Below are 21,806 nucleotides of genomic sequence, written 5' to 3'. Positions count from 1 at the left end.
CTGGAGTGCAGTGGTGCAATCTCGGCTCACTGCAACCTCCGACTCCTTGGTTCAAGCAATTCTCCTGCCTCAGCCTCCTGAGTAGCTGAGATTACCGGCATGCACCACCATGCCTAGCTAATTTTTGTATTTTTAGTAGGTGGGGTTTCACCATGTTGGCCAGGATGGTCTTGATCTCCTGACCTCATGATCTGCCCACCTAGGCCTCCCAAAGTGCTGGGATTACAGGTGTGAGCCACTGCACCTGGCCAGGAGATGAATTTGAGTTTCCCTCCCATCTCCTCTTTCGGTGACCCTATGATTAAACCTCTTTCTCAGCTGCAACCCAGTGTCTCAGTGTAATGACTTGCTGTGTGCATCGGTCAATGAGCCTATTAAAGTTAAATGACTACAAAGCTCATTGGGGAAGTGCCCCTCCATACTTACCCATCTGCCCACTGGAGCTGACAAGAATAGAGGCTTGGGTGCCAGCAGACCAGATGGGGTGAAGTGGGGGTTACGCAGAGAGAACTGGAAAGGAGGGGCCTTTCCAAATAGAGGGATGGAAGGAAAGCATCACAAGTGGCCTAGTGACACAAAGAAGCCAGGCTGCCTGGCTGGGTGTGTTCTACAGAAGGTGGCTGGTGTCACAGAAGAGGCACCAGCAAAAAGTCAGATTCTATGCCCCTGCCTCTCCTGACTGACACTACCCCTCAGCAAGTAAGAGAGGCTAAGGGACAGACTGGGGAGATGTGGCTTGGGCCTGATGATGGGCACTTCAAATGTCGGAGTGGGTAGTTCAGACTTGATCCTGCCAGGGGCATCCTCTCTCTTGTGTCTAAGCAATGTAACCACCCAATGGGCTCATCTTGCCCACTGCCCAGATACAGCTGATTTATCAAGACAGGGGAATTGCAATAGAGAAAGAGGAGTTAGCTAAATGGAAGACCAGAGTTTTATTACTACTCAAACCAGCCTCCCTGAAAATCCAGAGGCTACAGTTTTTTAACAATAGTTTGGTGGGCAGGGGGCTAGGGAAGGGGTGCTGCTGATTTGTTGGGGATGCAATCATAGGGTCATAGAAAATAGTCCTCATGCGCTGAGTCAGCATCTGGGTAAGGGACATGGGTCCAGGTGGAGTCATCTGGTTGTCAGAAATGAAAATCTGAAAAGACATCTCGAAAGGCCAATTTTAGGTTCTACAATAGTGATGTTACTTACAGGAGTAATGGAGGAAATTACAAATCTTGTAACTTCCAGAACAATGACTGGTAATCATTTAACTATGCCTGCATCTTAGCAGAATTCAGGCCCCTCTAATAATCCTAACCTTCCTAACCTTGTGACCTTTCATTAGTTTTACAAAAGTAGTTTAGTTTTGGGAAGGCCTATTATAATCCTTGCCTTAAGGTTAAACCAGAAACTAAATTTATCCAAAAGTTAGCTTGGCCCGTGCTCCAGAATGACCAAGGTTAATTTGAAGGTTAAAGGCAAGATGGAATTGGTTAGAGAAGGTCTCTTTGACTGTCATAATTTTCTCACTGCTATAATTTTTGCAAAGGTGGTTTCAGCAATCTGGGGTAATTTGTGTAACAGATATCCTGTTCTTTTTCTTAGTTTTATTTTATTTTATTTTATTTTTGAGATGGAGTTTTGCTCTTGTTGCCTAGGCTGGAGTGCAATGGCATGATCTCAGTTCACTGCAACCTCCACCTCCCGGGTTCAAGCAATTCTCCTGCCTCAGCCTCCCGTGTAGCTGGGATTACAGGCATCCACCACTGCGCCAGGCTAATTTTTTGTATTTTTAGTAGAGACAGGGTCTCACCATGTTGGCCAGGCTAGTCTTGAACTCCTGACCTCAGGAGATCCACCTGCCTTGGCCTCCTGAAGTGCTGGGATTACAGGTGTAATCCCACCACACCCAGCCTTTTTTCTCTTTTTTTTAAGAAAAAGTCTTGTTTTGTCACTCAGGGCAAGTGAGTGGCACAATTATGGCTCACTGCAGTCTCAGCCTTCCGGGCTCAAGCAATCCTCCCACCTTAGCCTCCCAAGTAGCTGGGACTACAGGCACATACCACCATGCCTGGCTAATTTTTCACTTTTTAGTTTTTTAGGGATGGGGGTCTCACTATGTTGTCCAGGCTGGTCTTGAACGTTTGGACTCAAGAGATCCTCCCACGTCAGCCTCTCAAAGTGCTGGGATTACTGGTGTGAGCCACTGTGCCTGGCCTCAGATTAGCCTGTTCTTAAGCGTTTCTAAAATGTTCATCCTGCCTAGCCTGCTTCCAGGACTTCTGGGTATCTCTGCTTCTTCCATCCTTTATGTTAGTGCTCAAAATACCTACCAATTTTCACTTCCTAGTTGGTTTCCTGTGATTGTTTCTAAACCTTGTGGCCAAGTTGTTAGCACCTCATTTCATCTAAAAAGTCAAAACATGCTTACCTTCCTCACCCCAAATATGCTAACCTCTGATGGTACAAATGATCTCCTGTGATTAGACCTTCCTGTCGTGTCTCCCCTGCAGCTAATCAGGAAAGCATCCACCTTTGACAATCACTCATCCTGGCAGCTCTGTTTCCTCTTTATCATTCATTCCCTGTTGCTTCCCTGAGCATAGCATCAGCTCCTGTTAGACCAGATAACCTGGAGCCCATCAGCAGGCTCCAACACAGACTGCTGTAGACAGAGGCTGGACGTTAGCCCAACTCCGAGGAGGGGCCACAGCCTTTCTGTGGGTGTAAGCACTTGGCAGGAAAACTTGGTTGTGGCAGCAGTCAAGACGTGAGGCTCCAGAAGTGAACACTGAAGGCTTCCGTTGTTGCTGCTGTGCTCCCCTTCACGCCCCCAGATAACTATGTTAATTTTCAAAAGTAAAATAAGGGGTTTCCTCCAAAAGTTTAACCCAAAATTTAAGTATCATCTTTAATTCATAAAAGCACTACTTAGTAACTGAAAGAGTAGGTACAATGTGATTGTTCTATCACTAGATTCAGAACTCATGGGATTCCCTAACCCATATAACCAAAGGATTTGAGAACTGCTGGTCTTCCTGCATGTTCCATGGTTGAAATAAAGGGATTTTTGGTTTTTTTAAATTTAAGAAAGTGAGGCAAGTGCTGACAGAGATGGAAATAAAAAGGTGAAAGCTGAAAGGCAATAGTTACAAACATCAAAAGAAAAAAAAAGAGAGAGAAAATAGACAAACCTCAGTCATTAAGGAAAAGTGTACCTTGTATGTGTAACTGATAAATTCACTTTTGGTAGAGAAAGAGTACGTGTTCTTTTTCGATGTGTGAAGTAGTTCAAGGTTGTGTAGCAGTATTTCCTGAGATGAGGGATAAACAGATGAAACAAACATTTCAGTAAGGTATGAAAATTAGGACATTTGAATCCCTGTATAGAGTTGCCAGGTGAAACACAGGACACCCAGTCATATTTCAATTTCAGATAAATAATTAATAATTTTTAAATCCAAGTATGTTCCAAGTCTTATATATTAAAGATTATTCATTATTTATATGAAATTCAAATTTAACTCAGCATCTTATATTTTTATTTGCTAAGTCTGATAACCCTAATAATGCAGAAAAAAAGATGGAAAACAATAACTCTTATGGAGTTTGGCATGAGAATGGCATTTAGAACACAAGAGAAAGGTCAGTGAGAGGTCATCCAATAAACACCACAAAGGGTTTTTTATAGAGGATGTTGAAAAAAACATGCGGTAAAGAGCCAGCTTCTTGGCTCTATAAAAGGCTGGCTTTGTTTCTTAGCAGGATAGAGGCTGCCCTCGCTAACCCCAATTTACAGCCAGATTGGAAAACTCTCTCAGAGTAGAACTGGTCTCCATGAGAACATGCTGGCTGCCAAATACCCAGAGGCTTTTTCAAGTGCCAGGTGTGCAGAGCCCAGAGAAAGTGCTCAATGGAAAATGGCAGGTTGAGTGAGAGGCAGTGGAGGAATTCTCTAAATTTTAGCATCTAAAGAATGAGCAACTATTTCAAAAAATGAATTAGCAATCCAAAGTGTTCCTATCTGGACTCATTTGGCCATGTTCAATTTTTAAGTATAAAAATGAACAGATTGGCCAGGCGCAGTGGCTCACGCCTGTAATCCCAGCACTTTGGGAGGCCAACGTGGGTGGGTCACTTGAGGCTAGGAGTTTGAGACCAGCTTGGCCATCATGGTGAAATTCTGTCTCTACTCAAAATTACAAAAATTAGCTGGGCGTGGTGGCACAGACCTATAATCCCAGCTACTTGGAAGGCTAAGGCATGAGAATTGCTGGAACCCAGGAGACGGAGGTTGCAGTGAGCCAAGATCGCATCACTGCATTCCAGCCTGAATGATGGAGTGAGACTTGGTCACAAAAAAAAAAAAAACAATTATCCTGTGTGGAGGCAAGCGCCTATAGTCCCAACTTCTCAGGACACTGAGTTGGGAGAGTTGCTTGTGCCAAGGAGGTAGAGGCTGCAGTGAACCAAGACTGTACCACTGCACTCCAGCCTGGGCAACAGAGCAAGACCCTATCTCTGGAAAAAGAAGAAAAGGAACAGATCTTCAGCCAAAGTCACTCAGTTATGCAACAGCAGCACTAGGAACAAGAAGCTCCCAGGCAAGAAACCATCATGTTGGGCCATCTACCTTAGCACATATTTCCATTCAAGAACTTGCCTTCCCACGTGATAGCCAAGACTTTCATCTTTATAGTACAGAATGAAACCACACTTTTCCAGAGGCATAATTCTTTATGCATTGAGTAATAAAACAATTTACACAGTCCCTGTTTTCTCAGTTCTTTGGTCCAGCTCAGCTGGTTTGCTTTGGAAAACCCTCACACTGCAGAATCCCTCCAACTACCCTCCTATTTATTTGCAGATTTATGATTATCCAAATGAACTTAGTCCCTATCAATTTAGATACACTTTAGGTAGAACTTTTTCATCCCTTGTCCTGTTAGGTTGATGGAAAAGTAATTGCAGTTTTTTTCCATTAAAAGTAATGGCAAGAACCGCAATTACTTTTGCACCAAAATACTTCTCACTTATCCTGTCCCCATTAAGTGACGGTACATAACCCATCATTTAAATCAAAGCTACACATTTAGTTGGGAGTTGTATACTTTGGAGGTTAGGATAAAGTTTAATTTCTGTTTATTTTATTATGCATCTGTGTCTTTGATAAAATTTGGAAAGATTCCCAAAGACCTGTGGGCACTTGGCATGTTTTTAAAGCTATGAGAATCAACAAATGAATCTGGATCTTGAGCACAGTCTCTCCTATGAAAGGGAAAAAAAATCCATGAACAAGGTTGGGCTTCCTGTTTTCCCCTGGATGCCTAGCACACCAAGGTCGTCACTGAACTCGGGTCTACTGACCTTTAAGCACCAGGCAGCACCTTCGAAATGCTATCTGAAGGTATGCCATTGTGATATTGTAAAATGTATGTTTGATCTTCCTACCCATTTCCTGAAATACAACTCCAAAAATTCTTGGAATCTTCAGTGATATGTGTCCTTCTGTGTGCCACCCACTGGACTGGTGGCCAGCAGCCCCTAGATAGCTTCAGTATGGGGGCTGGTCACCAGAAAGACCAAGGCAGGACTAAAAGATGGGGACTTTCAGCCCCAAACCCTACCTCCAGAGAGGGGAGAGGGGCCAAAGTTTAAGTTGATCACCAATAGCCAGTGGTTTTATCAATCATGCCCACATGATAAAGCCTCTATAAAAACTCAAAAGGACAGTGTTATGAGAGCTTCCAGATAGCTAAACTCATGGAGGTTCCTGAAGGCTCCTGGGAGGTCATGGAAGTTTCACACTCTTCCCCCATATCTTGCCCTATGCGTCTCTTCATCTGTATCCTTTGTAATGTCCTTTATCATAAACCAGTAATTGTATTTCTCTGAACTGCTCTAGCAAACTGATTGAAGCCAAGGAAAGCGTTGTGAGAACCCCAATTTGTAGCCAGTAGGTCAGAAACACTGGCAAAATAACCTGGAGCTTGCAATTGGCATCAGAAGTTAGAGATGGGGGCAATCTTGGGGACTGAGCCCTCAGCCTGTGGGATCTGACATTATCTCCACGTAGACAGATTGGAATCAAACTGGGCCAGAGGATACCCAGCTGGTGTCCCCTCCAGAACTTATTGATTGCTTGCTTGCTGGTGGGGAGACATCCCACACATGTGGTCACAGGTGTCTTCTGTGCTAATTTTTCGGGTATGAGAGCAGAGGACAAACAGTTTGAGTTTTTCCACACTTGGTCATCAATCCATGACAAATTCCCTGATCACAATCACAATTCCCTCACGCTCACGGATGCCTGTTGCTGGAGCTCCAGAAGAAGCTATCAGGTTTTAGAACCCAACCTGTTGTTCTTTAGACGTGTGGAGAGAAGAAGTGCCTGCTTTGATCTGAAGAAATAGGGTAGCAATTTCTGAGTACCTGCCCTGTACCAGATATTGAGCTAGACAGCTGGGAAGTATAGAGATGGAATTGACTCTCTCTCTTCAAAGGGCCTTGAGACATGTAGTTAAAGAATTATAACACAAGGCAAAACACAAGACATGCCCTTAAAAAGTACAGAATGTTGGCTAGGTGAGGTGGCTCTCAGCTGTAATCCCAGCACTTTGGGAGGCTAAGGTGAGTGGATCGCTTGAGGTCGGGAGTTCAAGTCGAGCCTAGCCAACATGGTGAAACCCCATCTCTACTAAAAATACAAAAAAATCAGCCGAGGTGGTGGCATGAGCCTGTAATGCAAGTTACTTGGGAGGCTGAGGCAGGAGAATAGCTTGAATCCAGGAGGCAGAGGTTGCAATGAGCTGAGATCATGCCACTGCACTCCAGCCTGGGCAACAGAGGGAGACTCGGTTTCAAAAAAAAAAAAAAAAAAAAGGTACAGAATGTTAGAGGAGTGAAGAGAAAGCAGTAATCAGGAAATAGTATTATAGCTTTAAAAAGATTCCCATTTTTACAAAGGTGAAAGTCAAGGCAAGTCAGATATGGTTCAAAGGGGGAAGCAGGTTCTATCAACGGGCAGTGGTCAGGTGGTGTAGGACCTGAAATATCCTGGTCTGACTTTCAAGGTGCTCCTCAGCAGACAGTGAATCATCTTAGTGTCTCCCGCTCACTCAGGCCCTATGGTGTAACTATCTTCGTCCACCCTGGGCACTTTGTCCAGCCACCCACCAGGCAGGAAACCTCTTGACCTGTCTGTATGAACAGACAGCTGCTGTAAACTGGCATTCAGCTTTTGCTAGACAGCTCCTGGAGGCCAAAGTCATCTTCCAGACCTAGAGAAGGATGAGTTATTTTCCAGGAGGACTACTCTTTAAAAAGCATGACACAGGCATATCACAGCCATGCCCTCTACGTGCCCCTGAAGGAAAGCTGTTAAAGACCAGAGCAAGAGTGGAGAGATAAGAAAAGCTACCTGAACATAAATGACCTCTTGCACACTGTTCTGTGGCCAGAGCATGGCCCCAGGGGAGCTGTGTTCCTCCTCCAGTGAATTAGACCAGCTGTCCACAAACTGAAGGATGTCACCCCTTAGATGGGATGTGTGTTCCACATCTTCAACTTCTGCATGTCCTCCTTAAAACTGATTGTCAGGGAAATTCCTGGGGTAGCTCAGTGGGCTGCTCCCCTGCCTCTTGTACCTTTCACAATCTCCCTTCTCTCTGTTTACAAGAGAAGACATACACCTTTTACCATCCTGAAACTTATAATACACCGTCCTGGTAATCCCAGCACTTTGGGAGGCCAAGGTGGGCAGATCACCTGAGGTCGGGAGTTCGAGACCAGCCTGACCAACACGGAGAAACCCAGTCTCTACTAAAAACACAAAATTAGCCAGGCATGGTGGCACATACCCGTAATCCCAGCTACTCGGGAGGCTGAGGCAGGAGAATCACTTGAACCTGGGAGGCGGAGGTTGCGGTGAGCCAACATCATGTCATTGCACTCCAGCCTGGGCAACAAAAGCGAAACTCCATCTCAAAAAAAAAAAAAGAACTTGCACCAAACAATGGGACAATAAGAAAATTTAGAGCTAAGACAGGAGAGTCCCATGAAAGTAAAACTCCTTTTGCTTTCTCAGAAGGCACCCCTAAAGGAGCAATGCCTGGGTCACCTGCGCCAGCTCTATCTAGTCACCTACCTCAGTGTTAGAAGTCAGCAGCGCAACGATGTCCTCCAAAGCACAGTTCTGTTGAATTTAAGTCAGTCAATGATATGGTTTGGCTGTGTCTCCACCCAAATCTCATCTTGAATTGCAGCTTCCATAATTCCCACGTGTTGTGGGAGGGTGCCAGTGGGAAATCATTGAGTCATGGGGGCAGTTTCCCACATACTGTTCTCATGGTAATGAATAAGTCTTTTCAAACAACTTTTCAACAATGTTGAACAGAATAAGTCTTTTCAACAATGAATTTCAAAGTCTTTTCATCAAACATTTGATGCTTTTATAGGGGTTTCCCCTTTCGTTTGGCTCTCTTTCTCTCTTGCCTGCTGCCATGTAAGACGTCCCATTGCTCTTCCTTCATCTTCCACCATGATTATGAGGCGTCTCCAGCCACATGGAACTGTGAGTCCATTAAACCTCCTTTTTTTTAAGAATTACCCAGTCTCGGATAAGTCTTTATCAGCAGCGTGATTAATACAGTCGAGTAAACTATTTTTCTGTCAGAAAGCAATTCAAAGTTAGCTGATTGGTCTGACAATGAGGGCTGGCTTTGCCCACCAGGTGATACAGATGGTGTTTTTCATAAACTAAACTGGATACGCTCAATCTGCAACTATTTAAAGCTCAGAAAATGTGTGGGAAAGAACATCCTTTGCAACTATTAAGGTGATAAGGCAAATTTAGATGTCAACTTAAAAACACGCAAGGAGGCACATGATTATTCACAATTATTTTAGGGGGGTATGTGAGAAAACTCTGGAAGACCATTGAATCTTCCAGTTCTCTTCAAATTAACCAGTGTTGGGAAGTTCGTTTAACCACCTAGAGTTGCGATCCTAGTTTTGCTCTGCAGAGGGCAGCATTGCTAAAATATTATTCGACTGTAAAGAAAGGATTTTTTTTTTTTTTTTAACAAGCTCTTTCTAGGCTAACTTACCTCTCCTGTCTTGTGGCATTTTTTTTTTAATTCTTAATTTTTAATTTTTGTGGGCACATAGTAGGTCTATATATTTGTGGGATACATGAGATATTTGGGTACAGGCATGCAATGCATAATAATCACATCATGGAAAGTAGGGTATCCATCCCCTCAAGCATTTATCCTTTGTGTTACAAACCATCCAACTATACTCTTTTAGTTATTTTTAAATGTACAATTAAATTATTATTGACTATAGTTACCCTGTTGTGCTATCAAATACTAGGTCTAAGCTTCAGCATTTATGGCCTCGAGGAGAGAGTTGCTATTTGACCAGAACAGAAATACAAAAGGCCTCTGTGTCAGGCACATTTTTCCAGGGCAGAAACAGCATTTTTTTTTCCTTTACTAAACAATTATCTGTCTTTCTGGAGTCTAACACAGTGCCCAGCACCAACAAGCGAGTGCCCAAAAAGTGTATGATGGATGAAAAGTAGTGCAGTCTCCAACTCCAGGGAAGCTTTGGGTTAAACATGCAAGACATGGCTCACCAGCATTCCTGAAACTCTAAAACCTGCCTTGATCAGATTGCTGTAAGTTCAAATAGTCCTTAGAAAGAGCAGCCACCACCTGGAAGGACTTTGGCACTGGCTGACACAAAATGGCCTGACTCCAGCTACACCTGGTTATGGTGCTCTTTGGTCCCCGGAAATCTTCTGATGCCATTTCACCAAGAAAGTCACATGATTTTCTTATAGTTGGTAAATTCTTTCCAGGCCTTAAATAAATGGCCAAAATTTTACACTTAAAGCGCAGGTTAAGTATGGAGACAAATTACCCATACTTCCCGGTGAATTCAGCTGTAACAGGAATTGAAACTTTCTCTCAAAAATAAGAAAGGGAAGGGAGATCAGGTCGAAAGAAAAAGCATGAAGTAATGAATTTTGACTCTGAGGCTCTCAGTTCCTCTTTTCCAACTTCGTGTCTCCTCCCTGTGGTGTTCAGCTCCTACCCCCAGCTAAGTGTCTGCACGTTATTTCTGGCTGCAGAAATTGTCTTCAGGCAAGTTTTAACTTGTGGGTGTTAACTGCTTCCACCAGGGCATTTGAGTATTTGTTTAATTTGAACTAAAATAAAGGGTTATGCTTCCTGTAAAGGGATCCCAGCATCAGGAACAAGTGTGCCAGGCAGCGTTTTCAGAGAACAGGCTCTCTGGCTGCTGCTAAGCCTGGAGACAGGCAGGGGAGGAATACAGTGGCTTCCCCCAGTATCCTCCCATGGAGCTGCAAAGGTCCCACCGCTAATAAGATAGGATGGGACTGAGTCAAGGTCTGTTGAACTAGAAACCTGTGTTCTTAACCTACTGACTGCTATTCTCACTCTCTGGACTGGCCCAGACTGGCCCCGGACAGGCTCAATACATGATTGTTGAGTTAAAAACAAAAAAAAACAAAATCTCATTGAGAAAGAAAAGAAACTTTATCTGAAGAATGTGAGCCATTTTAAATTATCAGGCCCAAAGAGGCATTGAAATGTGACAGCAATTATGTCTCATTCCCTGCCTTGAGCTAAGTAATCACCTCTTGAAGCCACTTGCTATGTGGGCTCAAGACTGACTGACACCAAGTGGCCATACATTAACCTAACAATGCCATATGCTAGATACCATAGCTCTTACCCTATAGCTCAACAAGGTATAGCCAATCATGAATCAATATTACTTCTTTAAGCCAGTGAGAATTCCTGCCAAACAACTTTGTATCAGCCTATTCCTTGTTCCCTTTTGCCTTTAGAAACCTGCTTGTGGTTGGGTGTCAGGGCTCATGCCTGTAATTCCAGTATTTTGAGAGGCTGAGGCAAGAGGATCACTTGAGCCCGGAAGTTCAAGACCAGCCTGGGCAATATAGGGAGACCTTGTCTCTATGAAAAATTTAAAAATTAGCCAGGCATGGTGGCATGTACCTGTAATCCCAGCTACTTGGGAGGCTGAGATGGGAGGGTTGCTCGAGGCCAGCAGGCCAAGGCTGCAGTGAGCCATGATTGTGCCACTGCACTCCAGCCTGGGTGATGGCGTGAGACCCTGTCTCAAAAAACAAACCAAAAAAAAAAAAAAAAAGACCCTGCCTGTGCAAATACATAAGGGAGCACTTCCCAAGACAACTTGGAAGTGTTTCCCGGGCCGCTGTCCTCACTGTGACTCAAGTTAACTCCTTAAAATTGTATTTTGTGCCTCAGCTTCTTCCTTTAGGTTAACTCCCATGAAGAGCTTTGAAAGAAATAGAAGGATATTACATCCTCTTGGATCAGTCTTGTAAGTAAAAATCACTAGTAAATACGATATTCATGGTCATAGCTAATATACTATTTCCGTTTGTGTCTCAGAAGGAGGAAGGGAAGGGAGAAGGAAAGGTGAGAGGAGAGGATGTGATATCTTTGACCTGCGTCCACCTCTCTTTCCCAATAGGCAAATGGAGAACCTGCTCTCTGGGAGAAAAGTCAAATCGGTCCCACGGCTCTCTTCTCCCACTAAGAACAACTGGTTCCTTCCTTCAGAAGAAGATGTGTTATTCCCACCAGTAGTGGTGAGCGCCTGGATTCCAAAAGGGTTAAGAATTCGGAGATGTGACCTGCCTCATTCTGAAGAACGTGGCCCAGCATGTGTATGAAGCAATTAATTGCTCCACAAACCCTGAAAATTTGATCACTGGCCAGAGTAACGCTGAGGAGCCATCCTGTCTTCTGCTTGAGTGTCTTCACTCTGGGGATTCTGGCAGGCTGGTTTCCTGGCCAGATGCTTCTCATCCACACCTGTGGACCTCAGGAAACCAAAGGTGACCTCTGTTGGCATGGCCTTGACTTCCTTTCCACCAATGCCCATGAGATGTGGAAATTGAGCGAACATCCACACCAGAACCATACACTCAAACAAGCAGGTTGGGGCAGGGAAACTCCATCACATCATGGTGAGGCAGAGATGCTGCAGCCACCCAGATCATTGTGTAGTAGAGGTGGCACCATTTTACTATGTGTCCTCCCTGCACTCAGTGAAGTCTGTGAAGGGAGGGGTCAGTGCAGCAAGGAGCTCGCTCTGCCCCAGAGGAGAGAGTGGAATGTTCGAGGACACATGAAAGCAGTTACTCTGCCTACCTTTTAAAACTCTTTCCTCCTGGGGAACTGGTTTATTCTGTACTCCTAAACAGACTATATCCATGTATTCACTCCTTCTATAAATATTTGAGAAAAACCTACTATATGCCAAGCACTTTTCTAGGCAAAGGAAATGCAATAGCCCTTTCTTCCCATAGCTTCCAGCCTGGTGGGGAATAAAGGAATTAAATAAGCAATTACAATAAAGGGTGCTCAGTGTCATAACAGGAGGGGTACAAGTGTCACAGATCAGGTGCACCTAACGTTATTCAGGCTGTTTCTGTCAGCTGTGGGATTTGATTTCATCCTACTTGTAAGCTAATTAGTTAGCCTGTTACTGTATCATGGATGTTGTCAGACGACATGAGACTCCTGAGTCAGAGACAAGGGGCCTTATTATTTACAGTCACCAAGCAGCATAAGCATTATGTTTCAGCTGTTTTCCTTGCTTCCAAGTCCCAGAGGGCAACATAGGGCTCAGATAAATGCTGCCATGCAACAGGTTGTATTACAGGAGAAGAACCTAGGCTTGGGGAATCCACCTCTTTCACAGCTGGTGGTAAGGAAACCTGCTCTTTGTTGGGGGGAGATATTATCTCGTCCCTCAAGGTTATTCACAGCAAATAACCTGAGAAAGGGCCCAAGTGAAAAGCAGTCAAGCCCTTGCATTCTTGGAAAAACCAGCAAGAACATTCCGAGCTCGAGTACAAGGATGCTCAGGGCCTCTCATAATAGTTCTCCAGAAATTCAAATTCTGAATCCCCCTTCAAGCTCCACAGCTCTCTCTCTCTTTTGTCCAGAATTCTTTTTCCCTTTACCTTCCATTTTGATATTTAATCATGTGCTGCTTTTTGCTGTCATCTTTTGTAGTCCCACAATGTCATCCACAAATATTGGCTCCAAAACAACTTCTGAAGGAATAAAAGAAAGCCCTTCTGTAGCTACCTGTAGGTGACATGTGGACAGAGAAGAGGCAGGAACTCTTCATTTGTGATATTCACTCTGAAATTACCTTGGGTAAAGGGCTTAATTTCTTCCTTGTTAAATTCCTGGCCTGTAAATTGAAGATAATGATATTTGCCTACCTTGCCTTTGGAATTAATTAGTGGTTGTGTTGCATTTTGAGTCTACAGATGAAAGCCTTTTTGTAAGTACAGGGCACCATCATCATCATTATTATCACCATCATCATCATCTTCATCATCATTGCTATCATTGCCTTGGGTTCTGAAGATAAAAGTGATGGAATTCCCACACAAAGCTTCCAAGAAACTTGACCTTTCTAACCCTTTCAACCTCCTCCTCTATGCTTTTTAGAAGGACTAACTCACTTTCCCCTTTTTTGAGACCTCACTGTCAGGAACTGAGAGCCAGCCATAATGTCTGAGAGACCTATGTTTTGTACACTCTAACTTGACTGTGCATTTCTTTTGGCAATCAAGCCTAGACCTTTCAACCATACTTCAAATCCAGAATATAAAAGAGCTGTATTAGAAGCAGAGGTAAGGAGACGCTTTTAAGAAAACTTTCCAAAAAAAATCTCAACCTGGCATGGTGGCTCACGCCTGTAATCCCAGTACTTTGGGAGGCCAAGGCAGGTGGATCACAAGGTCAGGAGATTGAGATCATCCTGGCTAACATGGTGAAACCCCATCTCTACTAAAAATACAAAAAATTAGCCAGGCATGGTGGCACGTGCCTGTAGTCCCAGCTACTCAGGAGGCTGAGGCAGGAGAATAGCTTGAACCCGGGAGACAGAGGTTGCAGTGAGCCAAGATCACCCCACTGCACTCCAGCCTGGGTGACAGAGAAAGACTCCACCTCAAAAAAAAAAAAAGAAAGAAACTACTTCCTTGTTTGAGGATTAAATGACTTATTTGTGGAGTGCAGTGACACAATCTCAGCTCACTGCAATGTCCGTCAGCACAGCGAGCAATAGGAGTATTCCCAGCAATAGCTTAACTCTACCTGGAAGAGGCTACAACACACATATACACATCCCACTAAACCCAAACTAAATGAGTCTCCCACGCAACTCCCTAGAAATGCACGGACACATGATGCCACTGACAAATGAGGAAGAATGATGGGAGGAATCAGAAATGGGTGGAAAAGAACAGGGTCTTAATTGATGGTTGTTCAAATATTTCTTACAGATTTTACAGAAATCATACGACAATAAGGTCTATCAAGCTTTTGCTTTTTTCATTCATAAACTGCTAGAGACACCTTGCTTTTGTAGTACTGCTTCAGACTTGCCTATAAACTCAGAGATAGATGTTGTGGCATGTGATTCTCATCAATATAGGAAAGAAAAATACATATGGTATATTAAAGTCATCTATGCTGCATTTTCCAGTATATTCCTGACAGGAAAGAACTTGTATTTTCACTAGTCTTCTTTGACAACTGAATTTTCTACTTACTGACAATTGCAAGAATGCTCCATAGACTATCTTCCAGCTTCAAACATTTCAAACCTTGTTTATCCTCCACTCTCCTTATACTTAAGGTCATGTCATGACATGGCCTCTGTCTCCTTCACCTTCCTGTCACAGCTCCCACTGAGTCAACACAGTGAGCAATAGGAGTATTCCCAGCAACAGCTTAACTCTACCTGGAAGAGGCTACAACACACATATACACATCCCACTAAACCCAAACTAAATGAATCCCCCGCGCAACTCCCTAGAAATGCACGGACACACAATGCCACTGACAAATGAGGAAGAATGATGGGGGGACATCAGAAATGGGTGGAAGAGAACAGGGTCTTAACTGATGGTTGTTCAAATATTTCTTACAAATTTTACAGAAATCATACAACCATAAGAACCTAGTTCTAGGGCCTTAGAAGGGCTGGCGCAAGTGAGGGCCCTGCCATGTAAGTTTCATTTCCTCTAGTTGGTACTCAGGCAGGAAACAGGCAAATGTGCCAGTCCCTCCACGATGATGGGAACCATTGTACACCTCTGCCCTGAGGATCCCAGGAGCTTGAGGACAGTGAAGGGACAGGGCTGGCATCTGGCTCCCCAAAGCTGACCTTAGCTATGTGACTTGAGCAGGGTGAGTTGGGGGCAAGGAAAGAACATTCATATCAGTATCACCCTGGGAGTGCTTTCCCTGCCTGCTGGCAAAGGATGTAGTGTGAGTGTGTATGTGTGTGTGTGTGATGGGAGAGGGCAAGAAAGAAAGGAAAAGCCATCTAACTTTTCTGATCCTCAAAAGCTACTAGTAGTCACCAAAGGTCTCTTCTGACATTGAATCTTAGTTTCCCATCACCAAAGTAATCAACTTATTTATGTATGACCATTTTTTCTAAACACAGCCATTTCTCCTTTATGTGCATGTATGTATGCATTCTGTGAATTGTAACCACAACAGACTACCACAAATAGCACTTTGGATCTGCCTCTCCCATCATCAGTTGTATGTTCAAAAGAAATAAAAGTTAATATTACTGGTAGACCAAGTAAAATATAAATCAACTGGTGGATCAGTTTAAGGCAGAAAGGTAACATAACATATCCCATAGCCAAACAGAAATTATTCTTGAAAATCCCCTGTTTGCTTCGGGCTCTTGGAGGAAGAAACATTTTTAGAGGCCTACTTTGTGCCATTCATATTGTCTCCTTTAATCCTCACAATACTCCTGGGAGGAAGTATTTTTATTCATATTTTGCAGATGATGACACAAGACCATAGTGGAAAAGAATAGCAGGAAGTGTTGGGCCTGAACGAGACGACACAGATAACAAGGGTCGTGTAACCCTCAAGCTTGTTTTTTCGCTACTCTAGATTGACAACTGAAAACCCCATAGCCTCAAGTTCCCCTGATGGCCGGAGTCCTCCTCACCTAAGTGCTCAGCAGGCAGAACTGTCACACTGCGCACCTGGGACCTGACTGGAAGCAAAGAGAAGCTATTCTTCAGAACCCAGCAAAACACCTTCCTTGGACTTTATAGGCACCTCAGTGTTTGCTGACTGAGCCAGGCAACTGATCAACATATTTCATTATTTTCCTGAAGAATTACCACTACCCTTTGAGGTGAACCCCTAAGCTGGGATGGTTAGTAGAAAACTTATTTTAGAAGTACCTTAAAGCTCCATTTTGCAAACTCTACATTAAGGAGCATGGAAGGTCAATTGTGCCAAGTATGGGGTGCACTAAATCTCAGAATTCATCCCTATATAATTCATCCATATAACCAAAAACCACTTGTGCCCCAAAAGCTACTGAAATATGTGTATATAATATAATACACACACACTTTTTTTTTTTTGGACCCAGGGTCTCATTCTATCACCCAGGCTGGAGTGAAGTGCCACAATCACAGCTCACTGCACCCTTGACCTCCCAGGCTCAAGTGATCTTCCCACCTCAGCCTCCTGAGTGGCTGAGACTACAGGCACATGCCACCATGCCTGGCAAATTTTTGTATTCTTTGTGTAGAGACAGGGCTCTGCCATGTTGCCCAGCCTAGCCTCCAATTCCTGGGCTCAAGCAATCCTCCTGCCTCGGCCCCCTGAAGTGCTGGGAGTACAGGAAAAAAATATTAAAAAAAAAAACCAAAAAAGAAATATAGGCCAGACGTGGTGGCTGATGCCTGTAATCCCAGCACTTTGGGAGGCCAAGGTGGGCAGATCACCTGAGGTCAGGAGTTCAAGACCAGCCTGGCCAACATGGTGAAACCCTGTCTCTACTAAAAATACAAAAATTAGCTGTGTGTGGTGGCGGGCACCTGTAATCCCAGCTACTTGGGAGGATGAAGCAGAGAGAATTGCTTGAACCCAGGAGGCAGACATTGCAGTGAGCCGAGATCACGCCACTGTACTCCCAGCCTGGGTGACAGAGCAAGACTGTCTCACAAAAAAAAAAAAAAAAAAAAAGAGAGAGAGAGAGAGAGAAGTATAAAAAAGAAAAAGAAAAAAAAAAAACCTCCTCTAAATTCTGTCATCCAGAGACAAATACTGTTAACATTTTGATGAATATCCTTCTGGATATTTCTCTATGCATCTACATTATTATCTATCTAAAAAAGTACGAATGAATGTTCCATTTTCTCCAACATCTTTGGAGTCCTTTAAAGTGTTCAAAAGGCCTATTGAGCATTTTCCATATTGACCTAATGAAATAATGAAAAAGAGTATTTGTCTACTTATTTATCCATCTACATATTATTCCCTATAAAAACTGCTGTTGGATTTAAAAGAATAGTGCCACATATGATTATTTTTTTAAAAAAAAGTTCTCATTTTTTAGCCATTTTAAATAAATACAAGCAACGTTTTCACTCTGTACTCCTAGAAACCAGTCAGCCAAACTTTGGCTTCCTCTCTGAGTTCACATATCTGAGAGGAAAGTTGATACTTCTTGCCTGCATGCCTGGGAGTTGTTTCAAAATGAAACCAGAACATTCCTAGTCTGCAGGCAGCTGCGGTAGCCACAGACAACTGGAAATTATTCAGTTTCAGTGAAATAGGTTAGAGACTCTCCCAGCACCCCACACACAAACAGAGGGGTGCATGGATTCTTTTAAAATGAAGACTCAGGGGTCCATGACCGCAGTTACAGAGTAGCAACCCTCCTGGGGCTGTTTGCTGTCTGTGGAGTGGGCGGTGTGGGGCCTCAGGAGAGGAAGGGGCCTGGGGTACTAGCCTTTTGATTCTGCCAAAACTTTAGAGACATTTCTCGAAGAACAAGCACACTATCTCTTTCTGTCTCTCTCAAAAATAAAAAATAAAATAAAAGAATTACATAAAACACATGGCAGGAAATGAAGGCTGTTGGGTTTTCTCCCACAATCTCGTGTAGATATTTTAGGCTCTGTGGCAGACAGAATGTCCTCCATCTGTCTGTGCTATTCACCATGCCCGACCCATGCCTTCAAGCTTCAAGCTTCGGATAACTTTTCTTTTCTTTTTTTTTTTTTTTTTTCTGAATTATGGTCTCACTCTGTCACTCAGGCTGGAGTGCAGTAGCACAATCATAGCTCACTGCAGCCCTCATCTCCCCAGGCTCAGATGATCCTCCTGCCTCAGCGTCTAGAGTAGGTGGGATTATAGGCATGCACGCGCATGCCTAGCTAATTTTTTAAATTTTTAATAGAGATGAGGTATCCCTATGTTGCCCAGGCTGGTCTTGTACTTCTGAGCTCAAGCGATCCTGCTGCCTTGGCCTCCCAAAGCGCTGGAATTACATGTGAGTGTTTTTAATGACTTTTTAAATGACAAAAATAATCATCACTTATGAGTGACATCTTTCTCTTGGGCAGCACAAAGAGTTATATCCTTCTGGTTAGCCCTGACCTTTCCCTAAATTTCATTCCACACAGGACTGTCGCATGGCCGTCGGTGCCTGTGTCTCCCCGTCTCCAAGCCTCCTCTCTCCCTCCCAGTGCCCCGTCATCTTCATCCCACTAGAAGCCCAAGCCTCTTCTAGTGACCCTACATTCTCAGAGCCCCGAAGCAGAGAACAGAAGCTGCTTCTACAGCCGCTCCAGACCCAGAGGCCAGACCTCACTTGTGAGCTGTTTACAAACACAGGGTCCTAGAGCCCATCTCAGACAGACCTGCTAAATTGGAACCTGCATTCTGATGAGACTTTAAGTATGTGAAGCACTGGTCTATATCATTCTCCTGGGGCATAGTTTGAGCTTTGTCTCCTCAAACTTGCATGTGACCTGGGACAGGTCAGAACACATCTCTCGGGCCTCATTTTCTCATTTGTGGGGAGGAGGAAGTAAAGCCACTCCAGGGGACAGTGTGATAAACAGAGCAGGCTGTGGAGTCTGGCCGCCTGTTGCACCACTAGGTCAAGTGACCCAAACTCTCTATGCCTCATTCTACTCATCTGCAAGATACCAACAGTAAGTACCCAACTGTTAGGGCTGTCACATGAAGGTGGAGTGAGAACATCTGTATTCATTTCCAATGGCTGCTGTAAAAAAAATTACTATAAATGTAGTAGCTAAAAACAACACAAATTTTTTAATCTTCCAGTTCTGGAGGTCAGAAGTCTGAACTGGGTTTTGCTGGGCTAAGATCAAGGTATCAGCAGGGCCAGGAGGGTCTAGGGGAGAATCTATTTCCTTGCTTTTCTAGCTCCTGGAGGCTGCCTGCATTGCTTTGGCCTGTGGCCCTCTTCCATCTCAAAAACTGCAGTGACCAGTCAAGTTCTCAAATCACATCACATCACATCACTCCAACATGTGCTCCTGTCCTTTCAGCTCCTTCTGTGACTTGCCTGCCTGCCACTGTTACCTGCAAGGATGCTGTGATGACATGGGGCCCACCTGGATAATCCAGGACACTCTTCCCACCTCACAGTCAGCTGGTTAGCAATCTTAGTTTCTCCATTGCCTCGTAACATAGAATATTTATAGACTACAGGGATTGGGGTATAGAGGTCTCTAGGGGGCCATTGTTCTACCCACCACACATAAAAGGACTGCTTCTGTGCCTGGCAAGTAGCACATGATAAATGTCAGCTGTTTTTCTTGTGTTCTGTGATTCTGAAGACAGCCTGCCCCACCACACAGGAGCAGAGCACTGGACTAGCTTTGTTTTTGCAATGAAGTGACCAAGACATTGTCAGTAGAAGCTTTCTCTTGTTCTGTCTTGTCTTACGCTCTCTAACTTTGGCTGCTGTGGCTGGACACACACGAATGTGTCTCCCTCGGCCTCTGGCAAGCCAGTCTTGGTGACCCACCCACCATTCCATGTCTGAAGATTGAGAAACCTTTATGTATTAACTATTCATGGTTGCTAAGTTATAGCCTCACTATGCAGTTATGGAATCCACTGCACCCATTTATCTGAATTCTTTCCTACAGACCACCCACTCTATTTTGTGCATTCATTCATGCGTACATGCACTCATTCATGCAGGAAATATTGAACGCTTATCATGTCCTAGGCGCTGGAGTTAACATGGTTGAGTGGTACTATCTCTGTCTCTCAGTAGAGGCCTCACTCCCTGCAGAGATGTTTTGTGAGCTACCAATGGATCCGGAGGAAAGCTGAATGTCTCTGAGTCCCCCAGGCCTTGCTTCAACAGAGCAGCGTCAAATTTTTCTGTTTTACATATTGGGGTTCTTGTAAGATTTTGTTTGAAAACAGAGCCTTCTTTCTAGTGCCTGGCACATAGTAGGCACTCATAAATGCAAATGAGTGTCTGGAGACTGCTGGCTCAGGACATCAACTGCTGACACCCTGGGATCCTCATTTCAGGCTCCTTTGTCACTAAGCCTGGAAACTCCTTTCCCCCCAGGATCTCCCTATATGTGTAACCTCCTCCTCCGACATTTATTGGCCTTCATTTCTGATTTATTTATTTATGTATTTATTGCTATTTCTGAGCCACATCTTTTGCCCTACTTCTGCTATTTCTGAAGCACATTTGGCCGTTCCTACCATCCTTCTCTCTCCTGTTAGCTAAATCCCATCTCATCATCATAATTGCATTCTACAAACTGCTGTGACGTCTCCTGCCTTCCCCAACTTCAATATCTCTCTCTCCAACCCCAGCCCACCTTTACCGGGAAAGAGGAGTCATGCTACCTTCCCCACCTCAGCCCGCCCTCTCTTCTCTTATTACCACAGGGCAGTGCAAATATCTAAGACTCTCACACAGCTCTTTGTACCCTGAGGCATTTGAAATTACTTGAATTAAGCTGCCCCATTATTTACTTTCAACAGCTTCTAATAACACTTTATATTCATAGTTCTTTAGAGTTTGCAAAGCTCTTTGACATTATCACATTTAATTTGAGCCTCAAACGCCCTTATGAGGTAAGCAAGAACATGACTTTTATTTTTGTTTTACAGGGAAGGAAACAGCCTCAAAGGGAACCAATGCTTTGCCCAAGGACACTTGGCACTAAAGCGGAAAAACTGGCCCCAAACCCAGATTTTCTCAAGTCCAGCACTTTCTGCACCGTGTGTTGGGCCTCAATTTCAAAGATGACAAAGCTTCAGGACCTGTTTCAGTTTTGTCTTACGAATGGATTTGGCAAAGAAGGCAGTACAGTTAATCCTGGCTGCAACTGCTGGAAAATTTGCTACACCCTCCTCAGTGCTAGCTGTGTATTGAATTTGGAACCTCAAACAAAGCTTGATAGAAGGAAGACAAAAAAGCTTCCGTTTACATTCCATTTTGGTTCCCCATTTGACTTCAAAGAAAGGAAAGAGAAGGAGGAAATTCACATTTTTGTCATTGTTACAGTCACTTTAATTATGCAACGTTTTGTTATGAAACACAGTTTTCTTTTTATGAAATAGTGCAGCCCTTTGGAAGCAGTGAAAATGCTAAGTTCAGAAAAATTTTACATGGCACACCATTGATCTGCATGATGATAGAAGGATAATTAAGATGCTGTATCTTAATTATCTGGTAGCAGAAATATGAGTCTCCTAGTCTCAAGACTTCAAACAGTAAGCAGTGGACTGTACAAGATCACGAGGCAGTCATCCCCTCTCTGCTCTGTTCCCTCTCCTCTACAATCCTTGGAGAAAGCTGTATAGGTTGGGTTGTCCTCAAAACCTTAGACATATGTGAAATACACAGGATTTTGGAAA

At 43.8% G+C, this 21,806-nt stretch overlaps 3 long non-coding RNA genes across 5 annotated transcripts in view, besides 3 other annotated features; 2 read left to right on the top strand and 1 right to left on the bottom strand.

Moving 5' to 3' along the window:
* The window catches only part of LOC105370202 (uncharacterized), an 18,370-nt gene extending 10,157 nt beyond the window's left edge, over positions 1 to 8,213 (bottom strand). Inside the window, exons 1-2 of the long non-coding RNA XR_941958.4 lie at positions 8,138 to 8,213; positions 7,412 to 7,658 (exon numbers count right to left, since the gene is read on the bottom strand). This is a non-coding gene — a long non-coding RNA (uncharacterized LOC105370202). The remainder of the gene's footprint in view (positions 1 to 7,411; positions 7,659 to 8,137) is intronic.
* LINC01077 (long intergenic non-protein coding RNA 1077) overlaps positions 1 to 21,806 on the top strand; it is a 23,001-nt gene extending 1,195 nt beyond the window's left edge. The window contains exons 2-5 of one of the 3 annotated variants that reach the window (NR_170269.1): positions 11,545 to 11,911; positions 16,026 to 16,296; positions 19,457 to 19,563; positions 21,057 to 21,806. This is a non-coding gene — a long non-coding RNA (long intergenic non-protein coding RNA 1077). Of the gene's footprint in view, positions 1 to 11,544; positions 11,912 to 16,025; positions 16,297 to 18,562; positions 19,097 to 19,456; positions 19,564 to 21,056 lie in introns of all 3 variants that reach the window. The other 2 variants (NR_170268.1, NR_170270.1) reach the window with 2 other exon arrangements.
* Positions 2,477 to 2,771: a silencer, noted in NCBI's record as "tiled region #13035; HepG2 Repressive non-DNase unmatched - State 7:EnhWF". NCBI's record gives its function as "represses a minimal TATA promoter and a strong SV40 promoter by Sharpr-MPRA in HepG2 cells {active_cell/tissue: HepG2}" and the evidence as "EXISTENCE:reporter gene assay evidence [ECO:0000049][PMID:27701403]".
* On the top strand, positions 8,503 to 12,430 carry LINC00462 (long intergenic non-protein coding RNA 462). Its single transcript, NR_051983.1, has 3 exons — positions 8,503 to 8,563; positions 11,316 to 11,391; positions 11,545 to 12,430. It is a non-coding gene; the product is annotated as a long intergenic non-protein coding RNA 462 (long non-coding RNA).
* Positions 9,781 to 9,830: an enhancer, noted in NCBI's record as "active region_7736". NCBI's record gives its function as "activates an Ori minimal core promoter by ATAC-STARR-seq in GM12878 lymphoblastoid cells {active_cell/tissue: GM12878}" and the evidence as "EXISTENCE:reporter gene assay evidence [ECO:0000049][PMID:35858748]".
* Positions 9,851 to 9,920: an enhancer, noted in NCBI's record as "active region_7735". NCBI's record gives its function as "activates an Ori minimal core promoter by ATAC-STARR-seq in GM12878 lymphoblastoid cells {active_cell/tissue: GM12878}" and the evidence as "EXISTENCE:reporter gene assay evidence [ECO:0000049][PMID:35858748]".

This window comes from Homo sapiens, chromosome 13, assembly GCF_000001405.40.
Source record: "Homo sapiens chromosome 13, GRCh38.p14 Primary Assembly".
NCBI classification, from domain to species: domain Eukaryota; kingdom Metazoa; phylum Chordata; class Mammalia; order Primates; family Hominidae; genus Homo; species Homo sapiens.
Note: the sequence above shows the minus strand (reverse complement) of the source record. Positions and strands in the feature narration are given on the sequence as shown.